Source organism: Homo sapiens, chromosome 21 (genome assembly GCF_000001405.40).
Source record: "Homo sapiens chromosome 21, GRCh38.p14 Primary Assembly".
Classification (NCBI taxonomy): domain Eukaryota; kingdom Metazoa; phylum Chordata; class Mammalia; order Primates; family Hominidae; genus Homo; species Homo sapiens.
In genome coordinates this window covers 41,767,153-41,785,909 of record NC_000021.9, presented here as the reverse complement: position 1 = coordinate 41,785,909, position 18,757 = coordinate 41,767,153, and the positions used below count along the sequence as shown (strand labels likewise).

At 47.7% G+C, this 18,757-nt stretch overlaps 1 long non-coding RNA gene across 5 annotated transcripts, besides 2 other annotated features; it reads right to left on the bottom strand.

The window, feature by feature from the left end:
• Positions 1 to 11,045: 11,045 nt before the first annotated feature.
• Positions 11,046 to 18,743, bottom strand: LOC102724800 (uncharacterized). 5 transcript variants are annotated; one of them, XR_937745.3, is made up of 5 exons: positions 18,676 to 18,743; positions 17,893 to 18,051; positions 16,527 to 17,296; positions 11,715 to 11,794; positions 11,046 to 11,343 (listed from the first exon to the last, which is right to left on the bottom strand). It is a non-coding gene; the product is annotated as an uncharacterized LOC102724800 (long non-coding RNA). The 5 variants fall into 5 exon arrangements; XR_007067874.1 differs by having other exon boundaries at positions 11,715 to 11,788; positions 16,590 to 17,296; positions 17,893 to 18,743; XR_001755062.2 differs by lacking the exon at positions 16,527 to 17,296 and having other exon boundaries at positions 11,715 to 11,788; positions 17,893 to 18,743.
• Positions 13,374 to 13,921: an enhancer, noted in NCBI's record as "H3K4me1 hESC enhancer chr21:43192149-43192696 (GRCh37/hg19 assembly coordinates)". NCBI's record gives its function as "activates a minimal SCP1, AML or CMV promoter by ChIP-STARR-seq in naive H9 embryonic stem cells {active_cell/tissue: H9 hESC(naive)}" and the evidence as "EXISTENCE:reporter gene assay evidence [ECO:0000049][PMID:30033119]".
• Positions 16,947 to 17,241: an enhancer, noted in NCBI's record as "tiled region #172; HepG2 Activating DNase unmatched - State 1:Tss". NCBI's record gives its function as "activates a minimal TATA promoter and a strong SV40 promoter by Sharpr-MPRA in HepG2 cells {active_cell/tissue: HepG2}" and the evidence as "EXISTENCE:reporter gene assay evidence [ECO:0000049][PMID:27701403]".

Below are 18,757 nucleotides of genomic sequence, written 5' to 3'. Positions count from 1 at the left end.
TGAGCCACTGCGACTGGCCCCCATTTAACTTCAATTACACCTGACTTTAAGCACATGGAGATTTTCTAGAGTGTATTGAGTGTTGTCTGTCTTTGATGATAAAGTTTGTGGAACATCACTGAGAGTAGGACCTTTTAAAAAGCCTCACTTTCCTGGGAGTGATAAAACAAAGAAGCACCTGAGCTGCTTTCCATGACTTTTTCTTTTCTTTTCTTTTCTTTTTTTTTTTTTTTTGAGATGGAGTCTCTTTTTTTATTTTGAGATGGAGTCTCACACTGTCGCCCAGGCTGGAGTGCAATGGCGCAATCTCGGCTCACTGCAAACTCCACCTTCTGGGTTCAAGCGATTTTCCTGCCTCAGCCTTTCGAGTAGCTGGGACTTGTAGTCTCATGTGCCACCACGCCTGGCTAATTTTTGTGTTTTTTGTAGAGACGGGGTTTCACCATGTTAGCCAGGCTCATCTCAAACTCCTGACCTCAAGTGATCCGCCCACCTCGGGTTCTCAAAGTGCTGGGATTACAGGTGTGAGCCACTGCGCCCAGCCCTAAATGTTAATTTTAAATAATTAGTTAATAATAATGATCCGTTTTGGTTCATCAGCTGTAATGAATGCACCACACCAATACAGATCTGGCGGGGATGCAGGAGCAGAGAGTGTGGGTGAGAATTCTGTGCTTTCTTCTTCTTTTTTTTTTTTTTTTTTTTTTTTGAGGCAGAGTCTCGCTCTGTTGCCCAGGCTGGAGTGCAGTGGTGCGATCTCGGCTCAGTAGGCTTAACTCAGAAATTTGCAGCAAAAAACACAATTACTTTTGCACCAACCTAATACCTAAGATAAATGAAAACATATATCCACAAAAGACTTACACACAATGTTCATAGTAGCTTCAGTTGGCAGAGGCATCCGGCTAGTGGGAATTCTAAGAGGAGAGAAGGGAGACAAAGGCAGAGTGGGACTGTCCAGGAGGCAGGAGGGGAGTCTCCCAGGACAGGAGGCTTTCAGTGCCTACTGCAGATGTAGTGCTGTGGGAATTTCGTTTTTCTTTTCTTTTTTCTCTTGTTTTTTTGTTTGTTTTTGTTTGTGTGTTTTGTTTTTGAGACAGAGTTTCGCTTTTGTTGCCCAGGCGGGAGTGCAATGGCACGATCTCGGCTCACTGCAACCTCCGCCTCCCAGGTTCAAGTGATTCTCCCGCCTCAGCCTCCCGAGTAGCTGGGATTACAGGCGCCCGCCACCAGGTCTGGCTAATTTTTTTGCATTTTTTTTTTTTTTTTTAGTAGAGTTGGGTTTTCACTGTGTTGGCCAGGCTGGTCTCGGACTCCTGACCTCAGGTGATCCACCTGCTTCAGCCTCCGAAAGTGCTGGGATTACAGGCAGGAGCCACCCTGCCCGGCCCCTTTTGTGGTAATTTCTGGACGATCTTCTTGACTCTTTAATGTTTAGTCTTGGCCTTCATGTTTTAATTTCTAAGCGTTCTTTCTGGTTATCTGGTCCTCCTTGTCCCCTACTCACTGTGTTCTAGTTTCATGGGTGACACATCTTCTCTGAAGATTTGAAGCTCTCCCTCTGCCACCAATCTCTGAACTGTCTGTTTCTTTTCTGTTTGTTTCCTACCTCTTGTACTGGAGGTTTCCTCAAATCTCTGCAAGCCTGAAGGTTCTTGGGGTATGGGTAGGGCTTGTGGACCTCTCAGCCTCACTGGTCACTTTCCCAAGGGGCCCCCAAATGCCAGTGTGTAGAACCTGCAGGTCCTCTGCATGAGGGATGGCGTTACATAAGATACATCTGGCTGGCAGTGTTCTGGAAGATAGGGGCAGGACGGGGAGACGTGAGTCATGCTGGAAAGTTCCGCAGGTCTTGGGCTGCCCCTGATGTAGCTGAGTGTGGAGCTTCTCAGGTTCAGTCTCATGTGCATACACACACACACATACTTGTGCATGCACACCTATGACGGTTACTACAGGACTGAACGAAGGGGGATGAACGCAGAAATGAAGACAAAGACAAAAAGATCTGTTTTAAAGAAGGGGTCGGGGGCTCCTTGCTTCTAGTGAGCAAGGGCCCTGAGCCTCTAAAGCCCTTCGTATTTACTAGGCAGAATCAACAGGGAGCAAAAGGTAACGATTGGTCAGCTGCTTGATTTATGACAGGTTCACATAATTGCTTTCTTTATACAACAGGCTTCAGATGTGGCTGTAGATAATCACAAGAAACACTGCGCCTGGGGCGTGACTGCCCTCAGGGTTCCTTCTGGTGGCGGTTTGTCAGTTTGCCAACAACCTGCATTCATGAGAACAGTTTGCTGTTTGCTCATACAGCCTCCAGCGGTGTGCTGAGCTGGTCACGACCCTCGTTCTTTCGGCCTTCAACACACACCCATGAGCGCAGTGCATGCTCACACATGCACACATGTGAACCAGTGCATGTACACACACAGTGTAAAGAAGAGTAAACAGAGGAGGAAAGGCAGTCTAAGGATAACATTTTATTTAAAAAATTAAAATTTTGGCCAGGTGCAGTGGCTCACGCCTGTAATCCCAGCACTTTGGGAGGCCGAGGTGGGCAGATCACCTGAGGTCAGGAGTTCGAGGCCAGCCTGGCCAACATGGTGAAACACCGTCTGTACTAAAAATACAAAACAATTAGCCGGGCGTGGTGGCACATGCCTGTAATCCCAGTTACCAGGGAGGCTGAGGCAGGAGAATTGCTTGAATCCAGGGGGTGGAGGTTGCAATGAGCCAAGATCGCACCACAGCACTGCACTCCAGCCTGGGCAACAGAGTGAGACTCTGTCTCAAAAAAAAAAAAAACAAAAAAAAAAATTTAAAATGTTCACGTACAGTCAGACCTTTGCTCTGGTCCTGCTTCCCACTAGATAGGTCTTAGGCTTGAGCCGCAGTCTTCATGATAAATATTGACTTTTCTTTCAACAAATTAAAAATGAGCATTTAAATAATGCCATACTTTGCTTAAGCTTTAAATTACAAATCAGATGAGCAGTCATAAAGGCATGTTTGAATCTAACGTAAAGGTTACATTACTTAAGGTCCCTTTCATCTGAGTTCCCTGCAGCGCATGAAGACGTCCAGTGACCCCTCTGCTGGGGCAGGTGTGTGTGATTTCACCACACATGTCTCCCAGACCTTGAGATCACAAGTCAGAACATGTGTAGGTTGCTGAAAGCACAGAAACCCTGATTTTTAAAGAACACATTTTACACAGTTGCGTATATAACTTGGACCTGCTACTGTTTCATAACTTTTATTTTTCCCAAATATAGTATGCATCATTATTTGCACGATCATCTCAATTCTTTTCTTGGTTCAGCAATGTGTTTTGTTTTATCATTTTAAAAATAAAAATGGTGGCCAGGCATGGTGGCTCACGCCTGTAATCCCAGCACTTTGTGAGGCCGAGGTGGGCAGATCACCAGGTCAGGAGTTCGAGACCAGCCTGGCCAACATGGTGAAACCCTGTCTCTACTAAAAATACAAAAATTAGCTGGTCGTGGTGGCAGGCGCCTGTAATCCCAGCTATGTGGGAGGCTGAGGCAGGAGAATTGCTTGAACCTGGGAGGCGGAGGTTGCAGTGAGCGGAGATCATGCCATTGCACTCCAGCCTGGGCGACAAGGGCAAGACTCCATCTCAAAAAAAAAAAAAAAAAAAAAAAAGGCATATATTTACATTGTGTAACATGATGTGTTGATAGAGATACTCACAGCAAAGTTACTACGGTCAAGCATATGAACATGTCCACCTCCCCACGGTTGCGTTTTGTGTGTTTGTGTGGTGACAGCACCTGAAATCTCTCTTGGTAAATTTCCGGGGTACAGCACAGAATTGTTAAGTACAGTCCTCAGGCTCTGCACTGGACCTCTAGACTTAGTCGTCCTATGTAACTGCAACTCTGTACCCTTTTAAAATGATATATTGTTAAAAAGTAAATATGTTTTGCTGACTTTTAAAATTGATAGTAAAAATAATTAAATCATGAAAATCTGTCCATTGCTAGTGGATAGAGGTAACTAATAAACTTGGAGGGTGGGAGAAAACAGGGAGGAAATAGGCATTTTTAAAAACTGTAAGTAAACTTTCAATAATATATTTCCCCTTTCATTCTCACAATGGCTGTCTCCCTAAAGGTTCACCCCAAGAAACACAGTGCAGCTCGCTTTGGTAGAAATGACAGTTTCCCATTTATGTAAAATTAGTTGGCATAAAGTGTAGAGGAGGAAGAGAGAGCATTGCTGTTTGGAGGAACAAGTTCCCCAAATATGTATTTACATTATGATAATGAGCCTAATTAATAGAATGCTTGCATTATCCATTTTTATTGATTTTAATTATTATTTCGTGCTGATATTTTCCTTGTCTTTTATGATTTTTTATTTTTTTGAGACAAGGTTTCACTTTGTTGCCCAGGCTGGAGTGCAGTGTTGTGATCATGGCTGACTGCAGCCTCAAACTCCTGGGCTCGAGCAATCCTCCCACCTCAGCCTCCAAAATATCCAGGATCACAAGTGCATGCCACCATGTTCGCTAATTTTGTTTATTTTGGGGGGAGACGGGGTCTCACTCTGTTGCCCAGGTTAGTCTTGAACTCCTGGGCTTGAGTGATCCTCCCACTTTCCAGAGTGCTGGGATTACAGGCATGAGGCACTGTGTCTGGCCAATATTTTTCTTTTAAATTACAGCTTCTTAACTTTTATTTTCTCATGCCAAAAATCTCAGTTCTTTACCATAGAGCTAATGATAGAGTTTCTATATCACATTTCCTTTATGCTTCAACACACACAGGGCAGTCTCAGGATAACATCAACACTCAGCCAATAGTGTGATTGTGGGAAAGGGGTTAAGATGCCTCCCTCCCTCCTTCCCTCCCTCCCTCCCTCCCTCCCTTCCTTCCTTCCTTCCTTCCTTCCTTCCTTTCCTCCCTCTCCTCCCTCCCCTCCTTCCTTCCTTTCTTTCTTTCCTCCTCTCCTCTCTCTTTCTTTCTCCCTCCCTCTCTTGCTTTCTTTCTCTTTCTCTCTCTTTCTCTCTCTCCCTCCCTCCCTCCTTTCTTTCTTTCTTCCTTTCCTTCCTTTCTTCCTTTCCTTTCTTTCTCTGTTCTTTTTGCCCTTAGTGCATTTTCCACTAGTAGTTACTTTTAAATTCCTACGTTTTAAAGTCAATTGGAATAGCTCCCCTCTGGTTAGTCAGGCTACCAAATGGATACACATTTGGTTCATTTGTCTTATTTTATTTTTGGTATTTAGACATTGCTTTTTAAAGTTAATTGTGTTTTATAAGGATGTAAAATATTTGCATGGTTTCATAGTCAAATCTAGAAAACAGGGCATGTGCAACAAGGACTTGTGTCTTCCCCCAGAGACTTCCAGCCCCCTCCCTGTGGACTGTGCTCACACTGTTTATTTTTAGAATGGAAGCAGATAGGGAGAGATAGATTGATTGATGGTAGATAGATGATAGAGAACAGGTAGGCAAGTAGTTAGGTAGTACATAGATGATGAATGGTAGAAACATAGATAGATAATAGATGGATGGGAATAAAGATAGTAAATAGATAGACAGAGGGATGGGTCCCTATTTCCTGCCTGTACTGGAAAAATGGAAGATTTCCTCCACCTTGCTCTGTTCAGAGTGGTCTGTGCAATCACTCCAGAGGCACGTGTAGACACAGTCCTCCTCCCATTTTCACAATTGCACGGCAGTCTTTCCTATGGATGAGTGATAATAATTCAACCATCGCCCATCCATGGGGATTTGGGGTGCTTCACATCTTTTGCTTTTACAGACTATATAATACATTAAGAGAAGTGGGTCTCATTATGTAAATGCCTGCGCCTTGCTTTTTTTATTGAATATAATTTGATTTTATTATATTTGTTTTCACTTTTTAAATGGCTGTGTATATGATGTATATGATAAGATCTCAATTGAAATAATATTTGGATTTGTTATCACTGTGTTTTCCTTCCCCTGCTGTTTGAAAAAGGCAGCCCTTTTCATGCTTCCTTGTCTGAGAGAACTCAAGCAGCACAGCAGCAGGTGCAGAGGCTCTCCCTGGAAGCCTAGGCTTACTGCAGCCAAGCTGTTAGGAGCGAGTGCTACTATCACCGGTCGAGGGTCATAACTGCAACTTGTCCAGGTTCTTGGCATTTTGAACAAAGAATTGGACAAAACGCCCAACAAAGCAAAGAAAGAATGAAGCAGCAAAAGAACGAAAGCAGGAATTTATTGAAAACCAAAGTACACTCCACAGTATGGGAGCGGACCCGAGCAGCGGCTCAAGGGCCTGGATACAGGATCTTCTTGGGTCCAAATATCCCCTAGAAGTTTCCAATTGGCCACATCATGCTCACCTCATGTAAATGAAGGTGCCAAAAGCAACCAGTCAGAGGCTAGGGTGAAGTTACAAAGTTATACTTCTATGCAAACGAAGGCTGAGCCCGCAATCAGTCTGATTCGTTGTGGACAGCAACCGTTCAGAGACTGGAGCGAAGGTACAGAGGTGCAAACGAAGACTCCACCCACAATCAGTCTGATTGGTTGCGGACAGCCAATTTCCCATTTGCCTCGAGGAAAAGGTGGGGGGGTTTAGAAAGGGAATAGCCTCTGGTCCTTTTGTTACTTAGGAGTGGAAAGTTAGGGTTTTCCTTTCAATTTAGTTGTAGGAAGTCTGAGTGAAACAGCCTTTGGTCCCCTGCCTCCAGCCCCTATTCTCCTGCCTCAGTACCTGGAGAAATGCACGTGGGGGGCGCTGTCCCTTTAGCACTGGAAACCACTAATATGCATGGGCGGGGGGCGGGGGGATGTGGATAAACCAAATGCTCTGCGTTTTACATGAAGGGGTGTTACGTAGCAGGTACAGGAAATATCTCACAGCTATATTGTATCGTCATGGATACTTCCCCAAAGCAAAATTTAGTTAAAAACAAAAAAGTAAACAATACGACACATTATTAATGGTTGTTAGTTGTGGATGACAGGAATGTATTTCTCAATATTATACAACAGTCACACAACAATCAGAAGATTAAGGAATGCTGGCTTTTTAAAAATCCCTAAAATTAAAAAATGAAGCAAAAACCAAACCAAGCCAACCCCCCACCAAAAAAAAAAAAAAACAAAATAACAACAACAAAACACACAAAAAAACCCAAAAACAAAACAAAAACAAGTAAAATCCCTAAAATTTTCTTAGAAAAAAACAAAGATAAAATTGATTGGAAAGAAGAGCCTACGTGTGGGTGAAGGATAAGCTGATAAGCTGACTCGTGCACGCCTTGTGTTTCTGAAGAAAATCACAGAATAAATGGAAGAGGAATGTTTCAGAAATGTTTAACAACTCCTATTTCCCGAGTCCCCGGAGGGCCTGCCTGGAGCCAGGCGGGCGGCCCAGAGTGTGTGTTGAGGGAATGAATGACCGCCGGTTGGGAGCTGGGACGTCCTGATTCCCAAGCAGCGGTGGCCGCAGTTCCCAACGCCGCCCACAGATGGCAGGAGGCGCCTCATGGAAAGTCTCCTTGGAGAATTTGGCAAAGCTGAGCCCGCTGTGCGTCTAAGCAGACTCCAAGGAGCGTCCTTGGCCAGACCGAGGGCTCCACGAGGAAGGTCTTGGCTGGCGATGTCGGTTCTGGAGCGAGATAACAGAGGCCCCGCTGGCCCCCTGGGGGCAAGCCGGACACCCCCAACCCTGGGCCGGGCGTGCCCCCCGGCGGGGGGCGCAGGCGGCCCGGCCCCTGGGCTACACACCAGGCAGTGGGGCAGGAAGAGCCAGGCCTCGAACCCGCAGGGCAGCCCCACCGCCAGCGCTGAGATCCTTGTCACAGGGCCCGGCCTGGCGTCCGACAGGGAGCGCCTGCGTTCTTGATTCTCTGTGTTTTTTGTCTGGGGACCTGTCCAGACAGGCTGAGTCCCATCCTCGAATGCTCATTTCACTGACCGTGAACGGTAGCGTCAGGCTTCACTGCCCTGGCTTAGAAATGCTTTTTTGTAAATGGAAGAAAATAAAACACAAAACAGTCTGAAAAAAAAAAAAGTGAGCCTACCAGTTCTGCCGACAAAAGGACTAGCCTGGTGCTAGAAAACAGCATTACAATGAAATAGGTAACCTTTAAGATCCTGAATTCATCAGGGTTATACAGAGAAACAGAACCAATAGTGTGTGTGTGTGTGTGTGTGTGTGTGTGTGTGTGTGATGTGTGTGAGAGACTGTGTGTGTGCACATGTGAGTGTGTGAATGAGTGTGTAAGAGTGTCTGTGTGTGTGCAAGTGTGTGATTGTGTGTGAGTGTGTATGTGTGAGCATGAGAGTGCGACTGTGTGTGTGTGTGTCTGTGTAAAACTGGCTCACAGGATGATGATGGCTGACGAGTCCCACAGTCTTTCTGCAGGGTAGTCCATAAGCTGGAGCCCCAGGACAGTCAATGTGTGCTTCTGAGTCCCAAAGCCTGAGGCCAGGAAGAGCCAATTGTTCAGTTCAAGTCTAAAGGCAAGAAAAAGCCAGTATCCCAGCTGGAAGGCCGTTGGGTAGGAGAGATTCTCTCTTACACGAGGATGATCAGCTTTTCCTTCTTTTCAGGCCTCTAGCTGCATGGACGAAACCCATCTGCATTGGGGAGAACGATTTGCTTGACTCTATTGATTTACATGTTAATCTCATCCAAAAGCAGCCTCACAGAAACACCTGGAATAATGTTTGATCAAATACCTCGTGGCTCAGTCAAAGGGACACAAAAATCAACCACCATAGACTCCGACACGAGCTTATAGACCAGCTACAATCAGCAGGCCTGGAATGTACACAAAAGTTCAGTGTCTTTTGCTTTTGGATAAAATAAAGATTCCTGTAACTGTGACAAAGATACGTATCTAGTTGGGTGTATTAGTTTCTAGTGGCTGCCACAGCAAAGTGACACAAACCAGGTGGCTTAAAACCACAGGTGTTTAGTCTCTCACAGCTCTAGAGGCCAGAAGTCAAAAGTTGAGGTCGGTGTCAGCAGGGTCCCACTCCCAGACAACTCCAGGGGAAGCTCCTTCCTGGCCTCTCTCAGCCTCAAGAAGACCCTTGCCCAAAATGTCCAATGCCCCCCCCCCACCCACCCACCCAAGGAGTTGGTGAAATATTCCAGCCATTTTTGCACCCATTAGAGCTGCTCTGTCCCTCTGGGGCTCAAGAATGAGCTTACGGGCTGGGCTGCACCCAGCACTGCCCATTAGCTGTAACTGGCCCCGGACCAGACTCCAGGATAGGTTTGAACCCCAAAGTGTAGGCCCTTCCTATGCCTGGGTTGTCATTTGGAGCTTAGGGGCCAGGCAGGAACCCTCCCCGGCTTCCAGTGCCCCAGGCATCACTTGGCGTGCAGCTGCGTCACTGCAGTCATGTGGCATCTTCCCAGTGTTTCCCACCCACTTCCCTTAGTGCAGGTGTGTGTCTGTGTCCAGACTTCCCCTCTTTACAAGGACACTAGCTCTGTTGCTTTAGGGTCTACCCTAATGACTTCATCTTTATTTATTTATTTATTTATTTGAGATGGAGTCTCGCTCTGTCTCCCAGGCTGGAGTGCAGTGGCACGATCTCGGCTCACTGCAAGCTCCACCTCCAGGGTTCATGCCATTCTCCTGCCTCAGCCTCCTGAGTAGCTGGGACTACAGGTGCCCGCCACCATGCCCGGCTAATTTTTTTTTTTTTGTATTTTTAGTAGAGAAGGGGTTTCACCGTGTTAGCCAGTATGATCTCGATCTCCTGACCTCGTGATCTGCCCGCCTCAGCCTCCCGAAGTGCTGCGATTACGGGCGTGAGCCACCGCTCTCGGCCCCATGACTTCATCTTAACTTGATCATCTTCAAAGTCTCTATTTCCAAATAAGGTCACATTCCAAAGTACTGGGGGTTAGGATTTTAACATACGCTTCTGAGTGGACACAAGTCAGCCCGTGGCTGTGGGTCTCACCAGGTCCTGTGGGTAATCCAGTCCCTGAGTTCCTCCCCCGCCGTTCCCCAGGACCTGGGGGCATCCTGGACTTTTTGGCTGTCCACTTGACAATGCCATTTCCCTTTGCCCTGACCTCTCATCCCTGCAGAATTGTTTGCTAGTTGGGCTGTCAAGACCCTCAAAATAGCTGTGATGAGCCCACAGTCAACTCTCAGCCTCCATAAGACCCTTGCCCAAATGTCCAATGCCACTCTCGAGGAGTTGGTGAACATTCTAGCCATTTGTGCACCCATTAGTGCTGCTCTGTCCCTCTGAGGCTCAAGAATGAGCTAATGGGCTGGGCTGCACCTACCACTGCCCATTGGCTGTAACTGGCCTTGGACCGGACTCTAGGATGGGTTTGAACCCTAAAGTCTAAGCCCTTTCTACACCTGGGTTGTCATTTGGAGCTTAGCGGGCATGCAGGAACCCTCTCCCCAGCATGAACCCTCTGAGAGAGGGTGGGCCAGCCATTCTTAAAGGGCACTTTTAACAGGTCAGGACTTCTGTGGCATACTGAGTAAAAATAAGCGAGGGGCTGTGTGGCACTTCCTGGCTCCTGGGACCACTCTGTGGCTGGGCTCTGCTGCCCTACTCTCTGAAGTCAATTCTGCTTTCAGGCAACCTCCTGAAATGTGCATCCAGCTGCTGCAAGAGGCCTGTGGCTGTGTTTCTGAGCCCTTTGCTGGGCCTCCCCACCAGACAGAAGATGGGTTTAGCTTCTGCCTTTCTCCTAAAACCACAATTCATGACCCAAGATAAGATCTCCATCTGACGACCCAGAGCGGACAACTTTAACTGGCTCCACTCCAAGCTCAAGGCCCGTGCCCACCTTGGAAAGAAAAGTGGCTTTTCAGGATGCCTACATGAGTGTGAGGAGTAAAGTCCTCTCCTCGCTCCACCTGCCCTGGATTATTTTCAGGCTCTCAGCCATACATCCTCCTCCTCAACTCCTTTCCCGTAAACAAACATGCAGGGGTAGACCGGGGTCAGTGACACTGGAGATGGCCAGCCCAGAAAATCCCGACGCTTCTCCTTGCAGCCACTGTCTGTCTCTCAAAATAATTCAGGCTGGTTTTCAGGGTTGTAGAGTTTCATTTGTCTTCAATATGCTTTGTCACCATAAAATACACTTGAAGTCTGTAAAGTATTAAGAAGAGATGTTCAGGGTTTACTCTTCCCATCCGGCACTGTAACATTTCTTAAGGGTGGCACCTGGAGCTGGTTTTACGCCTCTTTCTTCTGTCTTAAGAGGAACGGGACCAGGTGCCTTTTGCTTGTGTTGTGGTTTAAAAACCTCTAGGCTCATTTTTTCCATGGACTCTGAGTGTCTGCTGATGCAAACAACTGGCAGGTGTCCCACTCTCATCCACCTGTGTTGAGAGAGGGAGTCAGTAAGTGCAAAGAAATTCTCCAGGGCGTGTAATATTTCTTCCAGAAGTGGGTGTTTTAAGGAAGGAATTGGCCCATATTTACAAAATTATTTGAAAGGTAAGGTTGATTACAAAACAAAAAGAGAGAGGGAAAAGAAGCAATGGATGGACATCTTAAGGATGTATTTAAGAATTAACTTTATAATATTTAATCCAGCATATATGTATTATTACAGTTCTCAGACTGGGTGCTGTGGCACTGTGGGGCAGCACAGGGAACTCCTGCAGGTGCACCAGGATATTTTAAAGTTTGGGAGGAACCCGCAAAGTCTCTGAGAAACCACGTGAGCTGCTCACTCCGGACTACTTACACTGTCAACATTAGATTGCACCCCATTTCTTCTGACGATGCCATATCTTTGCAAAGTTGGGTTTTTGGAGGTTGCTGTGACTAAAAGCAGTAAGTGAAAATTAGCGCAGCACAGGACATTTCCAGGTTTGAGAAGTTGTATAGTGTCGGACAGGGGAAACCATCCCATAAGTATGTAACGATTGTTAAGAATGAGATACAAATTTTTTTCTTTTAATTTATGCATATCATTTTTAAAAAGCTACTAAGTTGTTAAGATATAACTTTGTTTTAAAGTTGAGATAAAATTCACATCACATAAAACTAACCATCTAAAAATGTACAGTTCAACTGCGTAGGATGATGTGCACCCGTAGCTACGTGGGAAGCTGAGGCAAGGAGGGTTGCTCGAGCCCAAGAGTTCAAGGCCAGCCTAGGCAACATAACAAGATCTCCACCTCTAAAAAAAATTAAAAAATAAAAATGTACAATTCGTTTAGTGCAGTGCATTCACAATGATGTGCAACCATCATCACCACCATCCAATTCAAAAACATTGTCATTATCGGAAAGGACACTCCTACCCATTAACTCCCTATTCCCTCTGTCCCTCAGCTCCTGGAACCACCCATCTACTTGCTGCCTCTGTGGATTTGCCTGTTCTGAATATTTGATATAAATGGACCGTACGAATGTATATATACCTAACATCCATATACAATATTTGATAGAAATGTATCATACAACTGTATAATACATATGAACCTATTTAAGGTTCATCCACAATACAGCATGTATCAGAACTTCCTTTAGGGATCCAGTGAATTTTCGCAGCATGCAGAGACTGCATTTTGTTTATCCATTCATCCATGGATGGACACTTGGGTTGTTTCCGCCTGTTGCTATTATGAATACTGCTGCCATGAATGTACAAGTTTATGTGTGAATGCCTGTTTTCAATTCCATAGGGCAATTCTATATTTAACTTTTGGAGAAACTGCTAGACTATTTTTCCATCAATATTTTTTAAATTATTGGATCCTAACCACTGAATAAATGAAACCGCTGGACGTTTCCTTGGTCTAGGGATGCCATAAAAAGATTACTGATGTACTAAAAGTGCCGTGTGCAGAGAACCTCTGATTTTAGCGGCATTTGCTGTACTTCTCAGGAGGCACTGTGGGGGGCACTCTGGAGGGACTCTAAGTGGGGCTCACCCTTGAGTAACCAAAATATTTACTCAAGTTAATAGTACCACGCATTTTAGGGTGAGTGTCAGCAGAGAGGTAACCCCTAAACTCTTGAGTGGCTCCCAGAAGGATGGTGGCCAGCGGGAGGGGACCAGCGCTGTCTTAGACGGGTCATCCAGGAGGGCAGCTGTGAGAGGTCACATGAAACTGGAAGCAGTGAGGGCAGAGGGACGACACAGCCCCCCAGGAAGAAGCAGCAGCAGTGCAGAGGGCCTGGGGAGGAGGGCGCTGGTTTGGGGAAGAAAGCAAGGAGGGTCAGTGTGGCTGCAGCAGAGACAGTGGGGGTAGCAGAGGCCGGCCAGTAGAGGTGGGCAGGGGTGGGTCGTGGAGAGCCTCTGCCTGGTGGGGGAAGGGGCAGAGATTGCTCCGCCCCATGAAGCCGAGAGTGGGGGAGGCAGGGCAACTTGTGCACAGGCTCCTGAGCTTGTAACAGAGGAATGTGACGAAGCCTGGGGCTGGGGGAGACACCCATGATGGGCTGAGTGGGGGAGACCAGGCAGGCATCAGGGAGTGGTGTCAGGAGAGAGATTTCCCGGCCCCAGGACAGCGTGTGCACCGGTCCTGCAGCACCAAGCTGGACCCAGTCAGGGGACAGGCGGCTGGAGGGCCAGGAGCAGCAAAGGCTGCAGGCCGGAGCTGGAGGGGCCAGGCTCATTTCCACCGTGAAAGCGAGGCCAGGGGTGTGTTTTCCAGATGTCCAGCTGCAGGTGAAGAATGGGCCCAAGAGGGCCAGGGTTGAGATAGGAACAGCACTCGGTGGTCGTGGGAGGATGGAAAAACCCAAACCATAGCTAAAACTAGTACCAGGCAAAGAAACCCCAGGATAATAGAAAACCCAAACAAGGGAGAGAAAGCGGCCGAAACCCCTGTCAGGGTGACATGTCCAGGACGCTTCCAGGCAAACCCAAATGAGGGAGAAAAAGGGTGGTAATCAGGAGGTCCCTGAAATCCCCTCTTTTTTCTAAAATACTTAATGATTATTCCACCCCCTAATTAAAGAAAAGCCCACAAAATCAGAAACCCAAACTTCACTGTGTGCGACTCATTCTCCCACACAAGTCCGAGCTCTCTTTCAGGTGCCCACTTTCTCTGCAATAAAAGCAAAACGGTGCCTTTCGCACCATGACCACTTGTCCCCTGAATTCTTTCTCTAGACCGTGTCAAGACACACTGGCTGGGGCTAGGGTCCCATGGATGTCTGGAGACCCTCCTGAGCCCTCCGGAGATAGGGTGACCGCTGTCATGACCAGATGGGAGTGACCATGACTGGGGTCCAGGCACTGGCACAGGGGACAGAGTCACAGGCAGGGAGGCTCAGGATGGAAGAGGTGCAGGCTTGGTGACCAGACCTGTGGTGATGCTTCTGGACCCCAGCGGAAGGTACAATAACTGGGCCTAGGGGCTACGTGTCTGAATTGTTGAAAGTTCTACATCAAGCTAACAAAGGGTTAAATGAAGTGTGTTCAATCCTCTGACTGACAAATGCACTCTCACGCCTAGAGCACAGCTGAGGATTCTCAGCTTCTGGCCCCCAAAGAGTCCCCCGCTCTTTCTGCCTGCAGCTCCGTCCTAACCCACGAACAGCCTCACTGGCACATGCGTGAATATCCCGGGCTTCAGGCCGAGCTCTGCCCATGGCCCTTGCACGCAGCTTTCTCTTGGCTACACTTGGGGGCTCGGGTGCTCACACCTGTCGTGCAGTTGCTCTCAGGGAAATGAACATGTGCAGGGGCTGGAGATGGCTGAGGGACATTTGCACTGGGAATTTCAGGGTCCCCAGAGCTTTCTTGATCTATGGGGATGGGTGTCTCCTGGCCCAATTGACTCCAGGCACTGGGTAGACAGGAAGGTCCAAGGAACAGCAGACTGGAGCCCTTTAACGTTTGGGGCCGGGGCAGGTTTGCCTCTTGTCCTGGTCAGGGTGGTGCTGGGACACAGGACTGGATTGAGTGTGCTGTGGGGGCCATGGGCTACTCTGTCCTGGCCTTCAGAATGGAAAGGGCTCATTCACAGAAACAGGAGATGCTGGAAAGAACCAGTTTGGGGGTGAAAAGCATAGGCTTATCTCAAATGGGTAGCGGTGCCTTAGGTACATCCTACTGTGGGCACCATGTTAAGTTTTGGGGGTTTGAGGCTCAGAGGAAAGGTCTGGCCTGCAGACAGAAGCTTAGGGATCTTCGTAGAATACATGGAAGCTGAGGTGAGCCTGGATGAGCTGCCTGGGGAAAGAGGGGAGGATCAGGGAGGCTCCAAATTGGTGTTTTAAGAAGCCCCACATTTAAAGACTATGGAGTGGAGCATGAGGGTGCAAAGCAGATTAGAACGTAGCATTACTACAATTATAATTCATCCCCCATCTGCTTCATGGCTTCTGCCATCAGACACAAGCCCCTAGGTTGCTGAACAGCACCCTTTATGCTGTGTTCCCAGGACACGGAATGTATGATCCTGCAGGAAGACTCATGGAACCAATGGGTCAAAGGAGGAGCTGTCTCTGATAAGGAAGTGTTTGTGTAAATAGAAAATATTTGCTTGAGTAAGAGCGAGGAGTTGGGTGTCAGGTGGAGATGGGTCTCCCAGAGGTGGTCTGGGAGCCCTCGCGAGTCAGGCCCTCAATGTCTCCCCTAAATCACTTTGTCAGAATTAGTGAAGGCAGAATCTCTGCAGTGAACAAGTTATGTTCTTTTAGAAAATAACACAATGCGGAGGGAATTCTCAAAAACAACCATGCAAGTGGTGGCAGGAGTGGCTGTTGTAGGGGAGGGAGGAGCCTACTAAGCAGGGAGGAGGCTGGGTGCAGAGGCCTGGCGGGAGGGGACTATGTTCCCAGGTGGCTGACCCAGCTCAGCTCCACGCCCCTGTCCCATGGTCATGCCAGCAGGTGGACCCCAGGGGCTCCAGCTTTATTCTGGGGCCTCTGAGAGCCAGGTCAGCCCTATGTCAGCTCCACGATCTCACTGAGCCATGCACTTACAAGGGTTGAGTTGCTCCAGGACCCTGAGAAGGACAAAGACGAAAATGACTCAATTGAAAATCTCACTATTCACCCATGGCCTGGCATGTGCCACACACATATAATTATCATCTGCGTGGATCCCCACCGACATCTCGAAGCAGGTCCCTCTATCCCACATGTCAGGGACAGGCAAATGCACCATGGTCACAGCCTGGGACCCCATCTGAGGCAGGCTGGCTGCAAACCCAGAGACGTCTCTATCCTGTCTTCTCCCTGGCCGGCAACCTTCATTGTTCCCTGCGGTAGGATGTTAAAGGCAGCTTCCTGGCACTTCCAGACCAGGGACCTTGGGCTGCCTGCTGGGTGGGTCAGTGCTAAATGGCCCCCTATGAAGAAGGGCACAGCTTGGGGACCTGGAGCTCAAGGGATCACCTATTTAGATTCGCTGTCAGGACATCCAGTATAGGAGGAAACTGGCTTGGAATTCTTCTGGGGAAGGGGCCAGGAGGAACACAGGGTAGTGGGGGAGTGGGGGCTTGCAAATGTCAGCAGACAGCCCCCTTCCCCAACTCCTCCTTCCCACCTCCCACCCCCCATTGTCTCCCCTCGTCGTCCCTCCCCTCCTCACCTGCACTGCACTCCCAGGCGGGTCAACAGTCTCTCCGTGGAGCTTCGTGCCCTCGGGGCTTACCTCCTAAAAACCTTCAAGTCTGCACCCCTACTGTGCCTCCGTGGCTGCGCCCTGCTTTCCACCCAGGATCTGTGCTGATTGGTTTGTTTGTAACCACACCGGGCACGTTGTCCATGCAGGCACTTCATGAGGTTAATTAATGTTGTCCCATGAAACCTCAGGACAGCCACCTCCCAACTTGCCCTATTATTCATTTCATCTTTTTCTTTAAATCGTTCCACTTTTCTTTGGCCCTAAAATGTATTTAAAACGAAACTAAATTACTTTTATACTTGGAAATTCTAACCTCACCAGCCTGGGACCAATGACTGTTAACATAAATAGCAGCTGCGCTCCCGGAATCCCAGAGGGTCTGGAACTCGAATTCACAATTCCTGGAAAGGTGTTTGTTTTCGTTTTACCAGTTGTCATGTGAATCGGTAAAGCACTTCAAAGTCCGCAGAGGAGCCGGATACCAAACCAGGTTCCTGCCGCCGAGCCCGTGATCTTTGGACCCGATCTGCTCACAGCTGGGAGCTGGCTCTTTTGGTCTCCAGGGGGCTCTGGTCTTCAGTCCCAGGCACCAGGCACTGAGCTAGCAGCAGACACTCCATAAATATTTGTCAAATGAAGCACACAGATGATTAAATAAATGAAATTGGAGCGTTTTATTACTTGCGTGGTGTGGGCTCTTAGTCACCCCCAGCTGCGGAGCTGTGTGCCGGAGACTGTAGATGGAGAAAGGTACTTTGCTAGAGCTGAGCCCCGGGAACAGGACAGGTGACTCACTTTCAAGTCCATTCATTTTTTTCCCACCAAAATAATAACTATGTTTACTTCCAAGGTATCTTCGTAGATTCAAAACTCCAATTATTTTTTAAAACATTAGTCCAAATGTAAGTTACATTTGTGACAAGCTTAAAACAACTATTTGCCACTCCAGCCTTAAGGAGACCAACTTTAATTTCCGGAGTATGTGGGAAAGGAAGTGGCTCCCTGGTCCCCCCAGGAGGCCCCCCGAGCAAGCATCGTCATGTTGGGATGTGTGAGTTCCCTCCAAAGAGCGGCCGGATGGGAGTGGGGAGGCAGTGGGGAGACGCGGCTCCCCGCTACAGGCTATGAAAGAAGGTCCGCGCCCGTTTGGAAGGGGGAGCCTGGAGACACTAGGTCTGCGGCTTTCAATGCGCTGACTTGGGGCAGCCTCTCTCTTTCCGAGTTACTAACACAAAAACACAGTTAATGTCGTTAAAATACCCTCTCCTTTAGCTCCGCCCTCCTGTCTTCATTATTAATCTCCTGTGGCCAAAAATAAGCCTTCACTCACCGTTGCGTCTCAGGAATGAGTGAGTGTTTTCTGAGGTGTGGACGCGTGCGTGATCTGTGATGCACTTCGGCCTCTAACCCAAATATCCTTCCAAGGCTGGGAATTTTTTTTCCCCATATGTGAAAAAAAAATCTTTCCTTTTCAAACCATCTGTTCTACCTGTAAAAAGAGGCTGTTATTTAGGAAAGGATGAGGGAACTCTTGCATTTGAAATGGACTTTAGATTTGCTGTTGGGTAATTTTTTAAAAAAAGTTACTTTCTGAGAGGAAACTCGTGTAAAAAAGCAAGACGTGAACCTGCAGGGAATTAGACTAACGAGTGAAGAAAGCCAATTTCAAAAAATTAGGCGCTGTATGATTCCTGTATCTAAACATAACATTTCTGAAATAAAACAATTTTAGAAATAGAGGAAAGATTAGTGATGCCAGGGCTCCGGGGTGCGGCTGTAAAATCGCCACAGGAGTGGCCAGGTGGGGGTGGATACGGGAAGGTACACAGATGATTACATTGTGTAAAACTAATACATGCAAAGGAAGACGAGTAAAACGGCAAAACTGAATAAGATCGGTGACTGTATCAAAGTCAATATCCTGGTTGTGAGATTGGACTTTTTTTTTTGGCAAAGTTTTGCAAAGTGGTAACACTGGGGGAAACTAGGCAAAGTGAATGATTTCTTACAACTGCATGTGACTCCGCAATTAAGGAAAAAAAAAAAGCAAAGAAAAGCAGGGCAGCTGATGCGCACGTCGAGACCCGTGAGAAGCGTGAGAAGCTCTGCTCACCCAGGGGAGAGCGCAGTGACCCGCAGCGTCTATTCATCCGTCCGCAGTCACCGGGCGCTGGCAGAGAGGGCGCCCGGGGGGC